This window comes from Homo sapiens, chromosome 14, assembly GCF_000001405.40.
Source record: "Homo sapiens chromosome 14, GRCh38.p14 Primary Assembly".
Classification (NCBI taxonomy): domain Eukaryota; kingdom Metazoa; phylum Chordata; class Mammalia; order Primates; family Hominidae; genus Homo; species Homo sapiens.
Genome location: NC_000014.9, coordinates 70,763,235 through 70,782,666, shown reverse-complemented (window position 1 = coordinate 70,782,666; position 19,432 = coordinate 70,763,235). Strand labels below are relative to the sequence as shown.

Genomic DNA, 19,432 nt, shown 5'->3' with positions numbered 1-19,432 from the left:
GCCTGAGGAGGTACTTGAGGTTGGTTCCTCCCTGCTCTTACATGGAGAGGTTGAAAAGTGATTCATAGGAAACTTTAATTGGTGTTTCATAGCTTTCCAGGGCTATTAAGGACTTGTGGTTCACAATGGCAACTCCCAGTGTTTCGAGCCTTTGTGGTTGGGACTTCCTTGCCTGCAAGGTGATGGGATGAAGGTGGTATCTGTGGTGGCTTGTACCGCTTCCTCCTCTGCCCTCAAATCCTTTCTCCTCTGCAATGCCTGGGGTGAAGTGCAGGTCACAGAGCCTGGAATGTTTTCTTTTTGTATAGATCATGATTCTCAACCGATGTGGGTAATTTTATTACCCAAATGTCCTCATAAGAAATTGACGTGCCTGCTATTGCATACATGCTGTAAGAAATACGGTCAATTTATTATATACATAACATAGAGGTCACTTCCACTGCATTCTTTCCATCCTTAGGAGTTGTGCTATGTAAACACATCCTAAACAACCAGAACAGTGTGATGTAGTAGGGGGCAGCGTGTCAAGATACATGAGATGGGGTCTGGAGAAGGCAGAATTCCCTGGGAGGCCTTGATGGAACAATTAGGCCTCAAAGAAGGGGTAGGATTCAAGAGTTGGTAATAGGGCAGGTAGGCCATAGCTATGACCTCCCAGGGAAGGCGGCCTGCCCCAGCTCAGACAGAGCCAAGTGTTCACTGATGCCATGTCCCATCACCTGGGTTCTTTAGGCAATTCCCAGACCTGGAATGTTGACTAGGAAAGCCATGCTCCCAAGAAGTTGAGTCTTCCATGTGAAACAGCTCCTCTTTCTAAGTGGCCAGAGAACCTGGGCTGGTACAGTTGTGGGCTGGTACAGTTGTGGGCTCTGAATCAGGCAGACCTGGCTTTGGGCAAAGTCCTCGACCCTGAGCCCATTTCCTCCTCTGTAAAATGGGGATAATTCTAGTATTTACTCATGGCATTATAATGAGGATTAAATGAAGTTATGTGTGTAAACCCTTAGCATAATGCCTGGCACAAAGTAAATGCTCAGTAAAAGGTAGTTTTTCCTTTTTAAAAAATTCAAGAGCAGCAGCAGATATGAGACTAGACTCACAGTGTATCACCTACTGTTTCCATTACTATTTCTTCAGAACAAACGACCCCAAACAAGAACATTTTATTAAGCTCATGGAGACTTGGGTCAGGAATTTGGAAAGAGCTCATTAGGGATGGCTTGTCAATGTCTGGGGCCTCACCTGGGAAGACTTGAAGGCTAGGGGAGGCTGCAGATGGAGGCAGGAACCATCTGAAGGTTGTTCACACACATGGCTCAGTGCCTGAGCTGGGAGAAGCTGGAGGCCAGGACTGCTGATGGGAGTGCCCATGTGCAGTCTGTCCATGAGCATGGCTCTCTTAGGGCTCTTGGCCTTACATAGTGGCTCAAGGCTGCAGACCCAAGTGTTCCAGTGAACATGGGGAAGCTGTAGCATCTTTTCTGATCTAGCTTAGAAGTCGGGCATTGTCATTTCTTCTGCATTCTGTTAAAGTGAGTCTCAAGACCACTCAGCTTCAAGTGGAGAGGACACAGACCCACCTCTCAGTGGGAAAAGTGTCAAGATCACACTGGGGAAAAGCACAGAGGATGGGAGATGATGGACCACTTTGAAAATGCAACCTTCCATGCCTGCTAAGGGAACTCTGCTAGCAGAGCTTGGGGATACAAGGCCCTGGAGAGCCTGTGCGGCGGCTGCACCCCATGGCCACCTGCCAAGAAAGAACTGCTTTCTGTTGACAAAACCATCGAGCATCTGATAGGCTTCCTCTTTTTTGGTTATTTTTATCTGGTATGTAGCTGGGTACTTCAGAGGTATGACGGAGATCTGGCAGCTCTTCTCAGTCAGTTTGAGCTGATACGATGAGAAAATTCAGGGGAGGCAGGTGTTTAAGGAGATGTTCTTTAGTAAGGAAAGTGGCTGCACAAAAGCCTCTGGCTTTCTGTTTCCTGCTGGTGATATCTGCGCCTGGATGAGGTGAGGGATGGAGTCCCAGCTGTGTTTTCTGGGCTTAATTTGCACAAGATGGCAAGGGCTGTAGGTGTCCAAGTTGACGCCTTTTGAAGCAGTTATATTTTAGGATGTTAGAGAGAGCTAGGTGTCCTGCAGACACGTGGGAGGTTTGGTCAGGGAGATGGTGCTTATTCTTCTGTTTTAATCATGAGAACCTTTCACTCAGCAGCATGGGAGATGTGGGAAGTGGGTACGGCCTCCAAGAAAGAGATGAAAGTGAAGTTCCCATAGAAAGTTGGGGCTGGTTAAAGGAGTCATTTTTCAAGGCTGATGAATTGTGCTGTGCCTACAGGAGGCCTATAAATATATTAGTTCCCTATCATGTCTCCTTCTATCCTCCAGCCCAACAAGGCAGCAGAAATCCACACCTCATGCTGTTAAGTCATGCGGCAGGCATGGATGTGGGCACATTATGAGGAAGCCTGGTGCTTTGGGTTGTTTCTCCAGTGCTGGTCCACATGAATACATCTGATTTGTTCCCTTGTTCCCCAGAACACATATGCACATTATGGCCAGCCAGAGTTGTTTGGGAGTGGCCTGGTTCAAACTATCACCCTAGTATCCCAATCTTGTTAACTAACCAGCCTGTCTGAAAACTTTGCATAAGGCCTGGGTGCCTGTCTGAAGGATCAAGACACTAGCCAGCCCCAGGAAGCTCATCTATCCGTTCTGTCTCCTCTGACGTCATTCTTAGGTTGTGCCATTCCCTGAGTTCCTTGCTGCATGCCCTTGGCTGACATTGCAAAGTGCATTGCACTGATACCTGGGGGCTTGCCAGAGATGTCCCAAATGAATGCAGGACTGAGCCGCGTTGGCAAGGAGTGGCTGTTCTCAGCATGCCAGAACTGTGGAATTGCATCTGGTCTAGTTAGTAGCAGTCAGTAATATGTGAGTTGGTAGCTACAACTGAAAATGAAGGAACCCTGTTTCTAGGTGTTTGTGGCTGCAGAAGCTTCAGTTCCTGTTGGAAGGGAAGAGTGGGTGGGTGAATGTTAGCCTAGAGGTAGGAGGAGTGGGACCACTAAACCCCGCTGAACTCACTAAATGCTAGTATATTCCTGTGAGATTGGTGACATACAGGGACTTAGCCAGAGCAAGTAAGTGATGTGATGTCAGAGAGATTTCCTAGGACTCATGGACCACTCTTTCTCCGTGTATGTGAAATTAATTACTCTGTCTGACTGTCCCATCCTTTCCATCCCCAGTACTTGAGTTTGTCATTCACCATTGTCCCCTGGACAATTGTAATAGGTTACTTACTGTGGCTCACTGCCAGTCTGTTGCTTTTTCAGTTTAATTTGTCTCACTGCAACCATAGTTGTTTTGCTGAAACTCAAATCTTGTCACAACACTTTTCTGCTTAAAAACTACTTGTGACTCCAGGGTCATTTCCAAGTTCCTTGGCAGGGTCTGTAGTCTTCCAGTCCTGCCCCAGCCCTTCACTGCGGCTCCTTCTTCTCCCTTTCTACCTCATGAAAGTTCTGCTCCAGCTACAAGGGACTATTTCTTAGATATGTCAAGGCCCCTCAGCCCTCTTGGACCTGGACTCACGTTATTCCCTCTGCTGGGAGTGGTCTTTCTTCTGATTCTCCCCCTGGACCAAACCCTGTCCTCTCGTTACAGCACAGAGAGCAGTTGTTTATTCTGTGAGCCCCTTCTAAGGAGCCCCTTCCTCTGTACATTCTAGTTTCAGGCATCCTCCATGTTAGGTGTTCAAACAAGATGGGTGGACGGGGTAGGGTAAGGCATCATCAAGAGCATGAGAGTAGCCAGTGGTCCCCACTTTACCACTTTCTGGCTGGGTAGCTCAGGGGAATATCCTCACTTCTCAGCCACAGCTTCTTCATCTGTAAGTAGAGATTAAAACAGTACATATCCGTAAATAGAGATTAAAACAGTACATCTGTTTTTATATAAGTACTGCACGTAAAATGCTTAGCATGGTGCCTGCCATGTGGTAAGTGCTCAGTAAATGCTAGCAATGATGATGACAGTGTTATAGGTGTAGACTTATATGGCCAGAATGAGAGAAGTTTGGCCTGGTGCAGTGGCTCATGCCTGTAACCCCTGCACTTTGGGAGGCCGAGGACGGTGGATCACCTGAGGTCAGGAGTTTGAGACCAGCCTGGCCAACATGGCGAAACCCCGTCTCTGCTAAAAACACAAAAATTAGCCAGGTGTGGTGGCACATACCTGTAATCCCAGCTACTCAGGAGGCTGAGGCATGAGAATTGCTTGAACCTGAGAGACGGAGTTGCAGTGAGCAGAGATCGCGTCGTGACACTCCAACCTGGGTGACAAAGGGGGACTCCGTCTCAAAAAAAAAAAAAAAAAATAGCTGGGCGTGGTGATGTGTGCCTGTGGTTGAGGCTACTTGGGAGGCTGAGGTGGGAGGATTGCTTGAGCCCAAGGCAGCAGGGGGCAGAGGTTGCAGTGAGCTGAGATTATACCACTGCACTCCAGCCTGGGTGACAGAGTGATACCTTGTCTCAAAACAACAACAACAACAATAACAACAACAACAAACAACAAAAAACAAAAGGGAGAGAGAGAGGTTCCGTCCTAGTTTCCTTTATAGGATCATCTATTTATCCCTCTCTTTTCCTTTCCTTTTTTCTGTGTAGGTGACTGTCGACCTTTTCTAGTAACCACAGTGGTTGGTATCTTTTACCAGTTTCTGCCAAAGTAGGTAGATTCTCAGGCATGCGTGTTGGCTGGGAGGAATCTTGATTTTTTGGAGTGAAATCTTGGATTCTGTCCTGATTATAATTCTGGTCTTGGATGTTGGTTATGTCTTAGAGGCTTTAGCCCTTTCCACCCATGGTGCTGGTGTCTCTTCGCAGAGAACTAGGTGGACACTGCATTAGTCAGGGTGGGGCCTCATGGTCCTGATATATCTTTTCACAGCCAAGGATCTAGTGTCTTAAGAGTTGACTTGCCAGGGCTTGTGACTCTCTGGTGACCAGTGGTCCTTATGCTTTGGGACTCCAGCCAGTATCCCCTGACTACTTTTAATAGCATCAGACTGGTTTGATAGGGAAGACTTTCTGAACCCTGGGATGTGATGGAGCAAGGAGACCCTCCTTCTGTAAAATAACCATTCCCTCTGCTTTTGAGTATGTCAGGAGGGTCTTTCCTGGGATGAATGAGCAGTGAGTAATGCTTCTCCCTTGGCTGACTATGGTTGCTGGTGAACAGTGGAGCTGGGGTCCAGAGGTTTTGGAGTGGACACTTATTCTTTGCCTTTCTGATATATGAGCCTCAGCCTTTCTCACCACTGTCTAAGAGTGCTTTCTGCTGCTCTGGGGATGAGTCATTGGATAGGGCACACATTTTAGAAAAGAAAAAAGATAAGTGGATGGTGATTTGATATGGATGGGGGCAGGAACTGGAGATTCCCCTGAGAAATGACTACCCCTTTGAGGTGGGCATTGGTCGAAGCAACAGCGCCCTAGAGATGGGTAGAAAGTGAGAGATCTTTGGCCGGGTGTGGTGGCTCACGCCTGTAATCCCAGCACTTTGGGAGGCCGAGGTAGGCAGATCACCTGAGGTAAGGAGTTCGAGACCAGCCTGGCCAACAAGGTGAAACCCTGTCTCTGCTGAAAATAGAAAAATTAGCCGGGTGTGGTGGCAGGCGCCTTAATCCCAGCTACTTGGGAGGCAGGGGCAGGAGAATAATTTGAACCTGGGAGGCAGAGGTTGCAATGAGCTGACATCAAGCCATTGCACTCAAACCTGGGGGACAAGAGCGAGACTTCTCTCAAAAAAAAAAAAAAAAGTGAGAGATCTTTTAGTTCAGGGTGTTTCATAGTTTTTATAGCCTAGTGTCTTAAGGGCTGATGGGAGAGGATTTTTTTTTAAATCAAAGTGGAGGTTCTAGGTTGAGAATGCTTTATTTGGGGCCCGAGTGAACAGCTATATGGGACCTACCTGCTACTGCTAGCGCCAAATATATACCTATTTTGAGGGTGAATCTCTAACGGAGAGAGCAGAGCTTTAAGATCGTAGGGATTCCTTTGCTTTATTAGTTTTTTTCTCACACTTGTGAACATTTAAGTTTTTGGTTCCTAGCTCTCCCACTGACCTTCCTCATAGTTTATCTGGATATACCATGTAGAGGATGAGGCATGGTATTGAATTTGCAGGGTCCAGCCTGTACTACTCAAAGCAAAACTCAAAACTTCTGAAATGGTTTCAGACCTAGTGTAGGAGGGTTTCTTCTCCTGCCCATCAACACCCTCCCCGCAAGCCACAAGCTACTGTCTCAGCCATGGTGCTTTTAGCACATATTTGTCCTAAATTATGCCTGGGGAGATGCTGCCTGCCGGTAAGCTTTTGCCACCACACCTTGCCAAGCTATTAGAGTTTGATCCTGAGTGTCTGTGAGCTTCCCAAATATTTATTTTATTTATTTATTTATTTTGAGACGGAGTCTCGCTCTGTCGCCCAGGCTGGAGTGTAATGGCGCGATCTTGGCTCACTGCAACCTCCACCTCCCGGGTTCAAGCGATTCTCCTGCCTCAGCCTCCCGAGAAGCTGGGATTACAGGCGCCCGCCATCATGCTCAGCTAATTTTTGTATTTTTAGTAGAGATAGGGTTTCACCATTTTGGTCAGGCTGGTCTCCAACTCCTGACCTCAGGTGATCCACCCGCCTCGGCCTCCCAAAGTGCTCGGATTACAGGCTTGAGCCACCACACCCGGCCCCAAATATTTAGTCTTAACTTCTTAAGCACTCTCATTTAAATATAAAAGCCTAGTTCCCTTCCCTAGAAGGATATGAAATAAGACTCAGGTGGTTTGGTTTTAGTCCAGGACCTCCTGGGTTCTAGTGGAAAGGGCAGTGGACTTAGAGGTAGAATTAGGTTTGACTGATAGCTTTGGTGGCTTCTCTTCCAGTTCTCTTCTGTTCTAAACACAGGTTTCTCTCCTTGTCCCTGCCAGTGAGAAGTAGCCATTAGCTTGATAGTGCCATGTAGAGACCCACTTCTAGTGCTGGGCTCTGTGTTCAGTAGTGTTATGGGCATTGGTCCATTCCGGATGTAGGATTCAGCAAGGTTATGCCCAGTGGATTTATAATATGAGACTGTCCCCAGGCAAATAAAAGTAAGTTGTGGGTCATACACTGTGGCCTATGAGAGACTGGTATTGTAGAGATGTATCTTCTCAACATTTGACCCCCAAATGGAGGGGGCAGCAGGGTATAGTGAAAGGAGCATAGGCCTAGAAGCCAGAGCAAGATTCAAATCTTGACTCTTTCGCTTCCTAGATGTGGAAAAGTTACTTGCCCTTTGAGTCCCAGCTTCCTCAACTATAAAATGAGGATGCTACCCAACTTGCAGGATAGCCATGAAAACTGCATGAGGTAATGTGGATGTGAAGTGTCTAGTATTGCACCTGGGACATAGTAGGTATGCAAAAAAATAGTAGCTGCTATTATTATTAAATAATTTATGAAAGTAACAAAAACACATGTTTATCCTAGATGATTTTGGATTTCGACAATGATGAAAGTGAAGAAAAACGTTTCGCTTATCATCTTATATACTAATGTTTTATTATAATATAGTTACATGTATTAAGCTGCCTATTATATCTTTTTTTTTTTTTTTTTTTTTTTTTTTTTTTTGGGGACAGAGTCTCACTCTGTCTCCAGGCTGGAGTGCAGTGGCACGATCTTGGCTTACTGCAACCTCTCCCTCCCAGATTCAAGTGATTCTCTTCCCCAGCTTCCCAAGTAGCTGGGACTACAGATGCGTGCCACCATGCCCAGCTAATTTTTATATTTTTAGTAGAGATGGGGTTTCACCATGTTAGCCAGGATGGTCTTGATCTCTTGACCTCATGATCCACCTGCCTCGGCCTCCCACAGTGCTGGGATTACAGGCGTGAGCCACCGTGCCTGGCCTTTTTGACATACATTTTGTTGTTGTTGTTTGTTTTTGAGATGGAGTCTCTCTCTGTCACGCAGGCTAGAGTACAGTGGCGTGATCTTGGCTCACTGCAGAGGCAACCTCTGCCTCTCAGGTTCAAGCGATTCTCCTGCCTCAGCTTCCCGAGTAGCTGGGATTACAGGCGCCCACCACCACGCCTGGCTAATTTTTGTATTTTTAGTAGGGATGGGGTTTCACCATGTTGGCCAGGCTGGTCTCGAACTCACCTCAGGTGATCCACCCGCCTCGACCTCCCAAAGTGCTGAGATTACAGGCGTGAGCCACCGCGCCCAGCCTGATATAAAATATTTGAAGTGTCATGTGTACATAATCTAGTTTAAAAAGCCGAAATATATTACAAGCCTTGTAATAAATAACAAAGGTCTCCTGCTTTATCCTTTCTCACTCACTGACTCTTCCTCCTGGCTGGTGATCTTGAGGGGAGATATTGGTTTAATTTACACGGTATTTGAACACCCCTTGCCTATTTAGCACAGTGCCTGATACATACAGGCTTTCAGTACATGTGGGTTATTATATTATTTTTGAAAGGTTTAAATCAATACTTAGTATAGAACATAGATTTCAGGTTGATTAACTTTACGGCAGCTTGGAGAGGCTATCCAAATCTTTCATTGTATCATACTGAGACTCTGTTGACTGGGATCTTGGTTTTGGTTTAGATTTGCAATTTTGATATGTCTGTGTCTGTTTTGCTGTAGTAATGAGCAAGATATTTTGTAGGAATTGAACTCTGTATTAATTCAGTTAGATTAGCTGTGAGAAATAGACACTTAAAGTAACACTAGCTGAAATAAGTGTCTCTCTTGTATGTAAAAGTTTGGCATGAGATGGCCAGTGATTGGCAAGACATCTCTGTTCCATGAGCCTTACCTCCTTCTCGTTCACAGCTCTGCCAACTCTTGGGGCATGATCATGTCCTCATGGTCCAAGATGGTAGCTAGACCTCCAGCTATCACATTCACTTTCCAGATAGCACAGTGTATAAAGGGATGAAGAACAAAGTCCAAAGGCCTAGAGCTGGAATCTTTTAAGACAGGTTACAGAAAGCACCTACAATGACACTTTTTAGTTACCTGGCTACATCTCAGAACAAGGAGGCTGGAAAATGTAGTAAATGTTCTGAGTGGCCTGGTGCCCATCTTGCAATTGTGGGTTCCATTACTATGGGAGGAGGGGAGAATAACCACTGAAGGGCGACTAGCAGTCTGGGTCACAGATTTCAGGCTCTTTTCCTATCATTAATCCCTTGTTAGTCCTTCCCTGATATGCTGCCAGGATTGCTAATGTAGCAATCCCTTTCTGCTGTGTTTTCAATTTGTTTTCTCTTTCTGCTGCTGACTCTGTCCTTCTGCTTTAACCCTTACTTGGAGATTTCTCTCCCATTCACCCCTTCAGAGTTGGAGGCCTTGAGACACTTGCTTGGATGTGCGATGGAAGCAGACAGGTAATTCCTTCCTTGGGGGCAATGACCTACTGCTTTCTGCATAACGTGCTTATAGTTGCAGCATTGAGATCAGTGGTTCCCTTGGGGAGAGGGTTACTGAAAGGTATCTTTGACAGTGTTTGTATAAAGTGTAAATATTTCTGTTTTTCAAATGTGCATGGGTGCTGTTTTGTTGAGAAAATATGAATTCACTTAGAAGCATTTTCTTAGGGTGTTTAGTATTTTCTTAGTGTTTAATATGGCATGGTGGTCTGGGGTCCTGACTGATTTCATTCAGGCCTGGGCTGAATGAAATGTCCTGGCTTCGTCTCTTCCCACTTGTAGACCAGCCTGCCTGAATTTCAGTCTCCATATCTGAAAGTGGGCATAGTTATAGTACCTACTTTCCGTATTGATGAGAGGATTAAATAAGATTATAGGTGTAAATCACTTAGCTTAGCACCTGGTATGTTGGAAGGACTCCATAAACATTAGTTGTGGTTATTATTTTCTTCTTAATCAACACACACTAAAAGTACAAATAGCATCATAATGGCTTTTTTTTTCAGCTGAAAGGACATATTTTGAAAGGTTGGAAATCATTACTGTAGCTTCTCAGGGGACTCCAATATGGCCAGCCCTGGAACAGGTAGCTGGGGACCAGTACCTAAACTGATTTAAGCAGACACCTTTTGGGATGATTTGCATTCATTTGTTAATTCCAGATGAATGTTTATTGAGCGCTTATTATTCCTCTTCAGGTTATAGGCATAGAAAGGGAGACCACTGTAGTTCAGCTTTACTCTAGCTCAGGAAAAGGTCACTGTATTGAATGCTCTCTCTCTCTCTCTATGAGGGGTGTTTTGTACCCATTCATTTGCTTTGGTTTCCTCTTTTATACCAAAAGGGAGTGACTCCTAAGTCCCCAAGGAGCCAATTCTCTCCACCTTTCTGTAGTTACTGTGGCAGGGACTCTTGGCTGCTGTGCCTGAGTCCTTGTTGGGAAGCATAGCTTTGCTGGTTGTGCCAGTGGAACCCGGTGCAGCTCTGCTGACAATGCGGAAGCTGCTGGGGCCACCGTTGCTGCTGGCGTCTCCCTTCCATCTCTAGGCAGCACCGCAGCTCTGCTGAGGTCGAGTCGGGGAGTCTAGGTGGTGAATCATTTGCCTTGGTAAGCAAGTCTGGCCTCTCTTGGCCTTGCCTGGAGAGACAGAGCGGGCAGAGCCCCACGGGCCAGGAGAAGCTGGGGGATGCACAGCGGCCGCACTCTGGCTCCCTGGTAGTGGTCCACGAGTCAGGCTCTCTCATGCAGCTCTTGCTGCGTCAGCACAACAGGGAGCCTGCTATGTGTTGGGTCTGAGATCATCTTCCTTCCTCCACTGGAGGCAACGTGCTGTAGGAAGCAAATATCTCACGTGCCACTCAGGAGCCCTAAAGGCTGGCTGTGTCTAATGAATAGGGCTTTTCTCTGGGGTAGAATCACTTCACCTAACTCCTTTTCCCCCTATGTTTAGCTGTTCTTCAGCTCAGATGGATGGTGGGGCTTGGCTGGCTCCTGGGAAGGACTGACACAGTTTCCAGGGAGTTACAGACTCCAGGAATGTCAGAGGTAGGGAAATGGGGGCCTGGTGAAGGTCACACAGTGGTGGAGCGAGAACCCAGACACCCTGGGTCTCCATCTGTTGCTTTTTTCTTTCTGCCTTGGTGTAGCTCAGAGACTGTTTTTATTAAGGTGAGACAGGATGCTGTGACATAGATCTGGAGTTTAAGCCCTGGGCTTTGGCAGGAACAAGCAGGAGTACGTATATGCCTTCCTCTATTACACCCTCCCAGGATGGATTTTGCATATCAGGAGAGATGGAAGAACCAAGTGATGGAAAGCCGGAAGCCTTTGAAAAGTTTCCTTTGTAGGATATGCTAGTTTCCTTCTCCCTACCCCAAGAAAACAAAACTGAAGGCACAGTTCTATGCTAGGGTAGCAGATTGAACATGTGAAATGCTACAGCTACCTTTACTCCCTCCTGAAACCCAGTGAAAGCCACAGCAAACCTACAAGGTGCATGGGAGAAGAGACGATAGCTGTTATGTTTTGGAGACTGGAAAACTGATGGAGAAGTGGTAACTGACTTAGAACATTTGAGAAAGATAATTAAGTTGACAGTAGGGAAAGCAAAAAAAAAAAGCAATCCCTTTATATCACAGAATCTCCTCTACTTTATGCAGCCACTTGACTGCCTTTTCTTCTTGGAAAGGGTAAAACAAGAGTTACTGGACTGGAGACAGCAAGCACAGAAAAAAATAAATAAAACAAAACATACCTCCTACGCGTCCTTTCTAAGGAACTACTGGAGAGTACACACCACCGAAGCAGGGGAAGGAATCAGTAAAGAGGGGAGTGGGGTACAGGACACAGGGATTAACACAGGAGGGAGACGAAGGGAACCCCTTAGGACTGTGTACCAGACGTAGAGGATGGGCAGCTTAGATCTGAGCAGCGTGACTCAGAATGTCATCACCAACTTACCTGCAATCATTGTGCCATTGATTTAACTGGAGGACTGACTACCTGGGGAAGCCTGGGGCAGATTGTATCTGCTCTTGGCTGTCTTGCTCATGTGCTGATGAAGCTTCTGTCGCCCCTCCTTGCCCTGCTGATGGATAGACGCATTTTATATTAACAGAAGTGTTTTCTTTGCCCAACCCTCGATGCTAAAGGTAGGTCCATGTGAATTTAGAAACAGAAAATATGAGCCAGGCACGGTGGCTCACTCCTGTAATCCCAGCACTTTGGGAGGCCGAGGCAGGCGGATCACTTGATGTCAGGAGTTCGAGACCAGCCTGGCCAACATGGTAAAACCCCGTCTCTACTAAAAATAAAAAAAAAAGTATCTGGGCGTCCTGGTGTGTGCCTGTAATCCCAGCTACATGGGAGGCCGAGGCAGGAGAATCGCTTGAACCCAGGAAGTGGAGGTTGCAGTGAGCCAAGATTATGCCATTGCACTCCAGTCTGGGTGACAGATTGAGACTCAAAAACAAACAAACAAAAGAAACAGAAAATACAGAAGAGTCCCACTCTCGCAATTACCTTGACCCCTACCACCAGGTGTTCCCACTGTGGTTACCTGCCCTGTGTTTCCAGGACTTGTTCATGATCTTGCCTATCAACTTTCCCAGGAAGGGCTCTTGTAAATTCCATGGGAATTTCCCAGAGACTCTGTTTAGCTTATTCCCTTTGGGAAGGCTTCATTTAGCAAAGGCAGTATTTTTACTCCTCCATGGTGTTGTGGGTAGAATAGTGTCCCCCACAACCCTCCACACAAACAATAAGTTGAAGTCCTAACCTGTGAAATTTGGAAATACCATCTTTGCAGATGTAGTCAAGTTAAGATGAGGTCATACTGGATTAGGATGGGCCCTAATCCAATGACCGATGTCCTTATAAGGACACATAGACAAATAGGAGAATGTTAGGTGAAGATGCAGACAGATACACAAAGGGAAGATGGCCATGTGAAGATGGAGGCAGAGATTAGACTTAACGCTGCTACGAGCCAAGGGACACTAAAAACTACTGGCAACTGCTAGAAGCTAGAAGGGTCAAAGAAGGATCCTTCCCTGGAACCTTTGAAGGGAGATGGCCCTGCCGACACCTTGATTTTGGACTTCTAACCTCCAGAACTGTGAGAGAATAATTTCTATTGTTTTGAGCCACCCAGTTTCTGTTAATTTGTTATGGCAGCCCTAGGAGGCTACAACACACAGCTTCATTTTTTGTTTGCCACTCACTTTTTCAAAACTAAACATTATCTTATTTAGAGATGTGTACATAGCTGGTAAAATCATAAAGAGAAGTAAAGAAATGAATAACAGAAGTCACGGTTGTCAGATGTTTAGGGAGAGAGGAAAGGGGGTGGTGGAGAGAGACACATGGAACTTCTAAAGGGACCGGATGGGATTATGTGGGTTTTCATATTATGTTCTTTAAACCATATATACATTTTTAAATTTTAGAAATGGAGTTTCACTGTGTTGCCCAGATTGGAGTGCAGTGGCTGTTCACAGGCACAAACATGGTGGTGCTATAGCCTTGAATTCCTGGGCTCAAGCCATTCTCCTGCCTCAGCCTCCCAAGTAGCTGGGACTACGGGTGTGCTCCACCACTCCCAGCCATATATACATTTGTACATGTTACATGTATACATTTTAATGTACTCTCCTATGTGTATAATACGTTTAACAATAAACTTTAAAAAATAAAACAAAACATAACCCTCAAAACCAAATTAGCTGAGTTACGTAATGTAGGAGAGATGGCATTGAATCATCTGAACCAAATGCAGGCCTGAGGACATGAGCCTTGGCACCAAGGTGAGCATTTAGCAAATTGAAGCCTCTTGTACTAATGGAGATGAATAATAAATAAGAAATCTGAAAATGACATAGATCATCAACCAAAGCTAAGTTTACCATTAGGACCTAATGGGAGAGTCTCCTCAGTGATGCCAAGTTTTGAGAGCCTGGCCTCAGCTAAATGATATTAGGTCAGATTCACAAATCCCTTAGTGGCAAGACACCCCCGATTTCTCCTGCTGACCTCCTAATGGGATGGCCTTGAGACCATTTTAAGTGGTCTGCATTAAGCAACATTGAATCCCAAAGAAAGTCATTCAGCTTTTTTGTGTAAATGGAGGATCAACATTCATTTTGGTGCTGTTTGTCTGTAATTCCTCTCTAACACTTCAAATCTTTCTTCTCAAGCAGAGAAGGCAGGCCTTAGGCTCAGCATTTTGACCATATGCGGGTCTGCCACTGTACCATTTATTTTTGTTTCATTTTATTTGTTTGTACAGGTTACTCAATGTTAGGAGAATTTTTGGCTTTCCCATTTACAATAGTGATATAGAATTTCTTCTTTAAATTTTTTTTTAATTTTTAATTTTTGTGGGTACATAATAGGTGTATATATTTTTGGGGTACATGAGATATTGTGATACAGGCATATGATGCATAATAATCACATCATGGAAAATGGGATATCCATCCCCTCAAGCGTTTATCCTTTGTGTTACAAGCAGCTCAATTATACTTTAGTTATTTTTAAATGTACAATTAAATTATTTTGACTATAGTCACCCTGTTGTGCTATCAAATACTAGGTCTTATTCTTTCTATTTTTTGATGCCCATTAAATATTATTTAAATAATAATATTAAGTGGTATATATAGGTGGTGTCCTAATTGGGAAATAATCAAGAATGATGTCTTTGTGCCAGGCACAGTGGCTCACTTCTGTAATTCCAGTGTTTGGGAAGCCAAGGCAGGAGGATTGCTTGAGACCAGGCGTTCAAGACCAACCGGTCAATACAAAAAATAAAAAATTAGCTGGGGTTGGTGGTGCGCACCTGTAGTCCTAGCTACTCGGAATGCTGAGGTGGAGAAACGCTTGAGCCCAGTAGTTCAAGGTTACAGTGAGCTATGATTGTGCCACTGCACTCCATTCTGGGCAACAGAGTGAGACCCTGTCTTGACCTGATACTCACTTTTGTCACATTGTCTTTCCTTATAGAAGGCGAAAGGCCGTTGAGATAAGCTGAGAGTCTTCAGGTTATCTTTCTCTGTGTGTCCCCTACCCGACCTGGCACTAACTGGGTGTGTTAGTCACTGGTGAACCCCTGGCTGAGGTATTACTCTTTCTCTAGTCTCCTCCCAGTGCCCCTCCACCCCCTACCCCAATACCTGGCAACAATAAGATGGGAAAGTGGATAGTTTGAGAAGATGCACAGATATCCCATTGGTCAAGTATGTGACCAGCAAGAGATGAGTTCTTTTTTTTTTTTTTTTTTTTTTTTGAGACTGAGTGTCACTCTGTTGCCCAGGCTGGAGTGCAGTGGCGCAGTCTCGGCTCACTTCAACCTCCGCCTCATGGGTTCAAGAAATTCTCCTGCCTCAGCCTTCCAAGTAGCTGGGACTACAAGTGTGTGCCACCATGCCCAGCTAATTTTTGTATTTTTAGTAGAGACAGGGTTTTGCTATGTTGGCCAGTCTCGTCTTGAACTGCTGACCTCAGGTGACCCGCCCACCTCAGCCTCCTAAAGTGCTGAGATTATAGGCATGAGCCACCGCACCCAGCCGGGATGAGTTCTTTCAAAGAGCCTGGTCCTGTGCTTGGTTCCTAAAGGGGACATGGCATAGGTTCCAGAAGAAAAAGAATGAGGTTTTTGCTTTCTAGGAGTCATACTGTATCACATGCTAGCGGAAATGATGACACCCATATATATGCAGCAGTCAGGAGTGATTAGAAGTGCATATAGTGTTAGATTATGTGGTATTTGGATGCTGAAGGAAGAATTCAGGAAAAAGAAGTGCAGGGTAGACTAATCAATTACAGCTTTAGGGATTAGGCAGAAATGGAGGCAGGGCTTAAAGACACATAGGATTTCTTTCTGGCCTCTGTACGGCATGGCACAAAGGTGAAGAATGTGGTTCTGAAGTCAGACAGATCTGGATTTGATTCCCTTCCCCATCCCTCACTGACTGGGCAACTGACTTAACCTTTCTGTGTCTGGTTTGGAGTGCATAAAATGGGGAAAATAATTACACCTACTGCTGAGGGGTGATTTAAGGATTAACAAAAGTGATGGACATAAACAGCATCGTGCTGCTACGTAGTAAGTGACCCATAATGAGTAGGTGTCATTATTAATCAAGCATTCCATTTATCTATACAGCAAAAATGTATTGCGTGGTTATTGTGTGTCAGGGACTGCCAGGCCTTCCATATCAGTCCCTTGAGCGCTGAACCCTATGGTTTCCATTTATGTACAGGATACCTAATTATAATAATAACTATAGTGCTCCAAGTGCCAGGTACTCTGCTAGTTGCTTTATTGCTGTATCGCCTTTAATCTTTATCCCCATTTTGTAGAAGCAGGAATTGAGGTACAAAGTTTAAGAGATTTGTCCAGGGTCACATTAAGAGTGTCAAGCCTAGGATTTAAATTATCTGCTCTTTTCCTGTTCCATACTGACTCTTGTTACAGTGAACCTAGACCCATTATGTCCAAAACTAAACTTGGCTTCTTCAAATGGGCTTTTTCTCTCAACTTCCCAATTAGGGGCACCACCATTCTTCTGCTTGTCACCCAAACCTGAAAGGCTGGAGATGTCTTCCTTCTCCATCAGGCCCCTACATCTGGTTAATCACTGGGTCTTTAGTTCCAATGTATCTTTTCCTTTCTGTTCCACTGCCTGGCCAGGCCCCCATTGACTTACGCCTAGACTCGTTAGTTCTTCTCGGTACAGTCACACATCACTTAATGGCAGGGATACATTCTGAGAAATGCATCATTAGGCAATTTCATCATCGTGCGAACATCAGAGTGTACTTATACTACACACCTGGGCTATATGGTGTAGCCCAAGCTTGTCCCGCTATGGCTCAGGACACTTTTTCCTTTGTTTTTTTTTTTTTGTTTTTTTTTGTTTTTTTTTTTTTTTAGCTGTTGTTGGTGTATTTTATGTGTGGCCCAAGACATTTCTTCCAATATGGCCCAGGGAAGCCGAAAGATTGGACACCCCTGGTGTAGTCTGCTGTTTCCAGGCTACAAACGTGTACATGTTACTGTACTGAATATTGTAGACAATTGTAATGCAGTGCTAAGACTTTGTGTACCTAAATGTATCTATACGTAGAAAAGGTACAGTAAAAATATGATATAAAAATAAAAAATGGTACTTCTTTACAGAACACTCACCATGAAATGGAGCTTACAGGACTGGAAGTTGCCCTGGGTGAGTGAGTGGTGAGTGAATGTGAAGACCTAGGACATTACTGTATACCACCATAGACCTTATAAACACTGTACACTTAGGCTACACTAAATTTATAAAGAAAACTTTTTTTTAGACGGAGTCTCACTCTGTCACCCAGGCTGGAGTGCAGTGGTGCAATCGTGGCTCACTGCAACCTCTGCTTCCCAAGTTCAAGCAATTCTTCTGCCTCAGCCTCCTGAGTAGCTGGGAGTACAGGCACGGACCACCACACCCAGCTAATTTTATGTATTTTTAGTAGAGATGGGTTTTTGCTATGTTGGCCAGGCTGGTCTTGAACTGCTGACTTCAAGTGATCCTCCTGCCTCGGCCTCACAAAGTGCTGGGATTGCAGGCCTGAGCCATGGCGCCCAGCTGAAAAATTTTCTTTCTTCAATAATAAATTAATCTTAGCTTACTGTAACTTTTTAACTTTATAAACAAAAACTGTTTACTTCTTAACTCTTTTGTAACAATGGAGCTTAACATAAACACACTGTACAGCTTTACAAAAACATTTTCTTTCTTTTATCCTTATTCTATGAGCTTTTTTCTATTTACTTTTTTTTTGTTGTTTGTTTGTTTTTGAGAGAGAGGTCTCACTCACTCTGCCACCCAAACTGAAGTACAGTGGTACAATCACAGCTCACTGCAGCTTTGACTTCCCAGGCTCAAGTGATCCTCCTACCTCAGCCTCCTGAGTAGCTGGGACTACAGGCATGCACCACCACACCTGGCTAATTTTTCAATTTCTTTGTAGAGACAAGGTTTCACTATGTTTTCCAGGCTGGTCTCCAGCTCCTGGGCTCAAACGATCCTCCCACCTTGACCTCCCAAAGTGCTGGGATTACAGGCATGAGCCACCACCCTCAGCCTACATTTTTTTTTTTTTAAAGAGCCTGGTCCTGTGCTTGGTTCCTAAAGGGGACATGGCATAGGTTCCAGAAGAAACATCAGCCTACATTATTTTTTTTAACATACATTTTTTGTTGTTGTTGTTTTTACATTTTAAACTTTTTTGTTAAAAACTAAGACACAAACACATTTTAGCTTTGGTCTACACAGGGTCAAGATCATATCACAGTCTTCCACCTCTACATCTTGTTCCTCTGGAAGGGGCAAAACACACCTGGAGCTGTTAATCTCCTATAATAACAATGCCTTCTTCTGGAATACTTCCTGAAGAACCTGCCTGATGCCGTTTTACAGTTAACTTTTTTTTTTTTTTTTTGAGACGGAGTCTCGCTCTGTCGCCCAGGCCGGACTGCGGACTGCAGTGGCGCAATCTCGGCTCACTGCAAGCTCCGCTTCCCGGGTTCACGCCATTCTCCTGCCTCAGCCTCCCGAGTAGCTGGGTCTACAAGCGCCCGCCACCGCGCCCAGCTAATTTTTTTGTATTTTTAGTAGAGACGGGGTTTCACCTTGTTAGCCAGGATGGTCTCGATCTCCTGACCTCATGATCCACCCGCCTCGGCCTCCCAAAGTGCTGGGATTACAGGCGTGAGCCACCGCGCCCGGCCTGACAGTTAACTTTTTTTTACATAAGTAGAAGGAGTGCACTCTAAAATAATGATTAAAAAGTATAGTATGCTGGCCAGGCACAGTGGCTCCCACCAGTAATCCCAACACTTTGGGAGGCTGAGGTGGGAGGATCGCTTGAACCGAGGAGCTTGAGACCAGCCTGGACAATGAAGTGAGACCCACTTCTCTACAAAAACTAAAATAATTAGTTGGGTGTGGTGGCACATACCTATAGTCACAGCTACTCAGGAGGCTGAGGTGGGAGAATCACTTGAGCCCAGGAGATTGAGGCTGCAATAAGCTATGATTGCACCACTGCACACCAGCCTGAATGACAGAGTGAGACCTTGGGTCCAAAAAAAAAAAAAGTAAATACATAAACCAGTAACATAGTCGCTTATTAGCATTATCAGGTATTATGTATGGTACATAATTGTATATGCTATGCTGTTATACGACTGCCTGCACAGTAGGTTTGTTTACAGCAGCATCACCACAGACACATGAGAATACATGGTGCCATGACATTATGACAGCTGCCATCATCACTAGGTGATAGGAAGTTTTTAGCCCTATTATTACCTTATGGTACCACCATCATGGTTTTGGCCTGTCATTGACTGAAACGTCATTATGCGGTGCATGACTGTTTTTGCCATTGCTCGACA

General features: G+C 45.0%; 1 protein-coding gene across 7 annotated transcripts in view, besides 2 other annotated features; it reads left to right on the top strand.

Moving 5' to 3' along the window:
• The window catches only part of MAP3K9 (mitogen-activated protein kinase kinase kinase 9), an 86,988-nt gene that overhangs the window by 26,847 nt on the left and 40,709 nt on the right, over positions 1-19,432 (top strand). Inside the window, exon 2 of one of the 7 annotated variants that reach the window (NM_001284231.1) lies at positions 17,180-17,225. The exons of the other annotated variants lie outside the window; for them this stretch is intronic. Coding sequence (NP_001271160.1) covers positions 17,195-17,225 — 31 coding nt within the window. The 5' untranslated portion in view covers positions 17,180-17,194. The remainder of the gene's footprint in view (positions 1-17,179; positions 17,226-19,432) is intronic. 7 annotated transcript variants of the gene reach the window in all.
• Positions 1,889-1,978: an enhancer, noted in NCBI's record as "active region_8663". NCBI's record gives its function as "activates an Ori minimal core promoter by ATAC-STARR-seq in GM12878 lymphoblastoid cells {active_cell/tissue: GM12878}" and the evidence as "EXISTENCE:reporter gene assay evidence [ECO:0000049][PMID:35858748]".
• Positions 5,944-6,023: an enhancer, noted in NCBI's record as "active region_8662". NCBI's record gives its function as "activates an Ori minimal core promoter by ATAC-STARR-seq in GM12878 lymphoblastoid cells {active_cell/tissue: GM12878}" and the evidence as "EXISTENCE:reporter gene assay evidence [ECO:0000049][PMID:35858748]".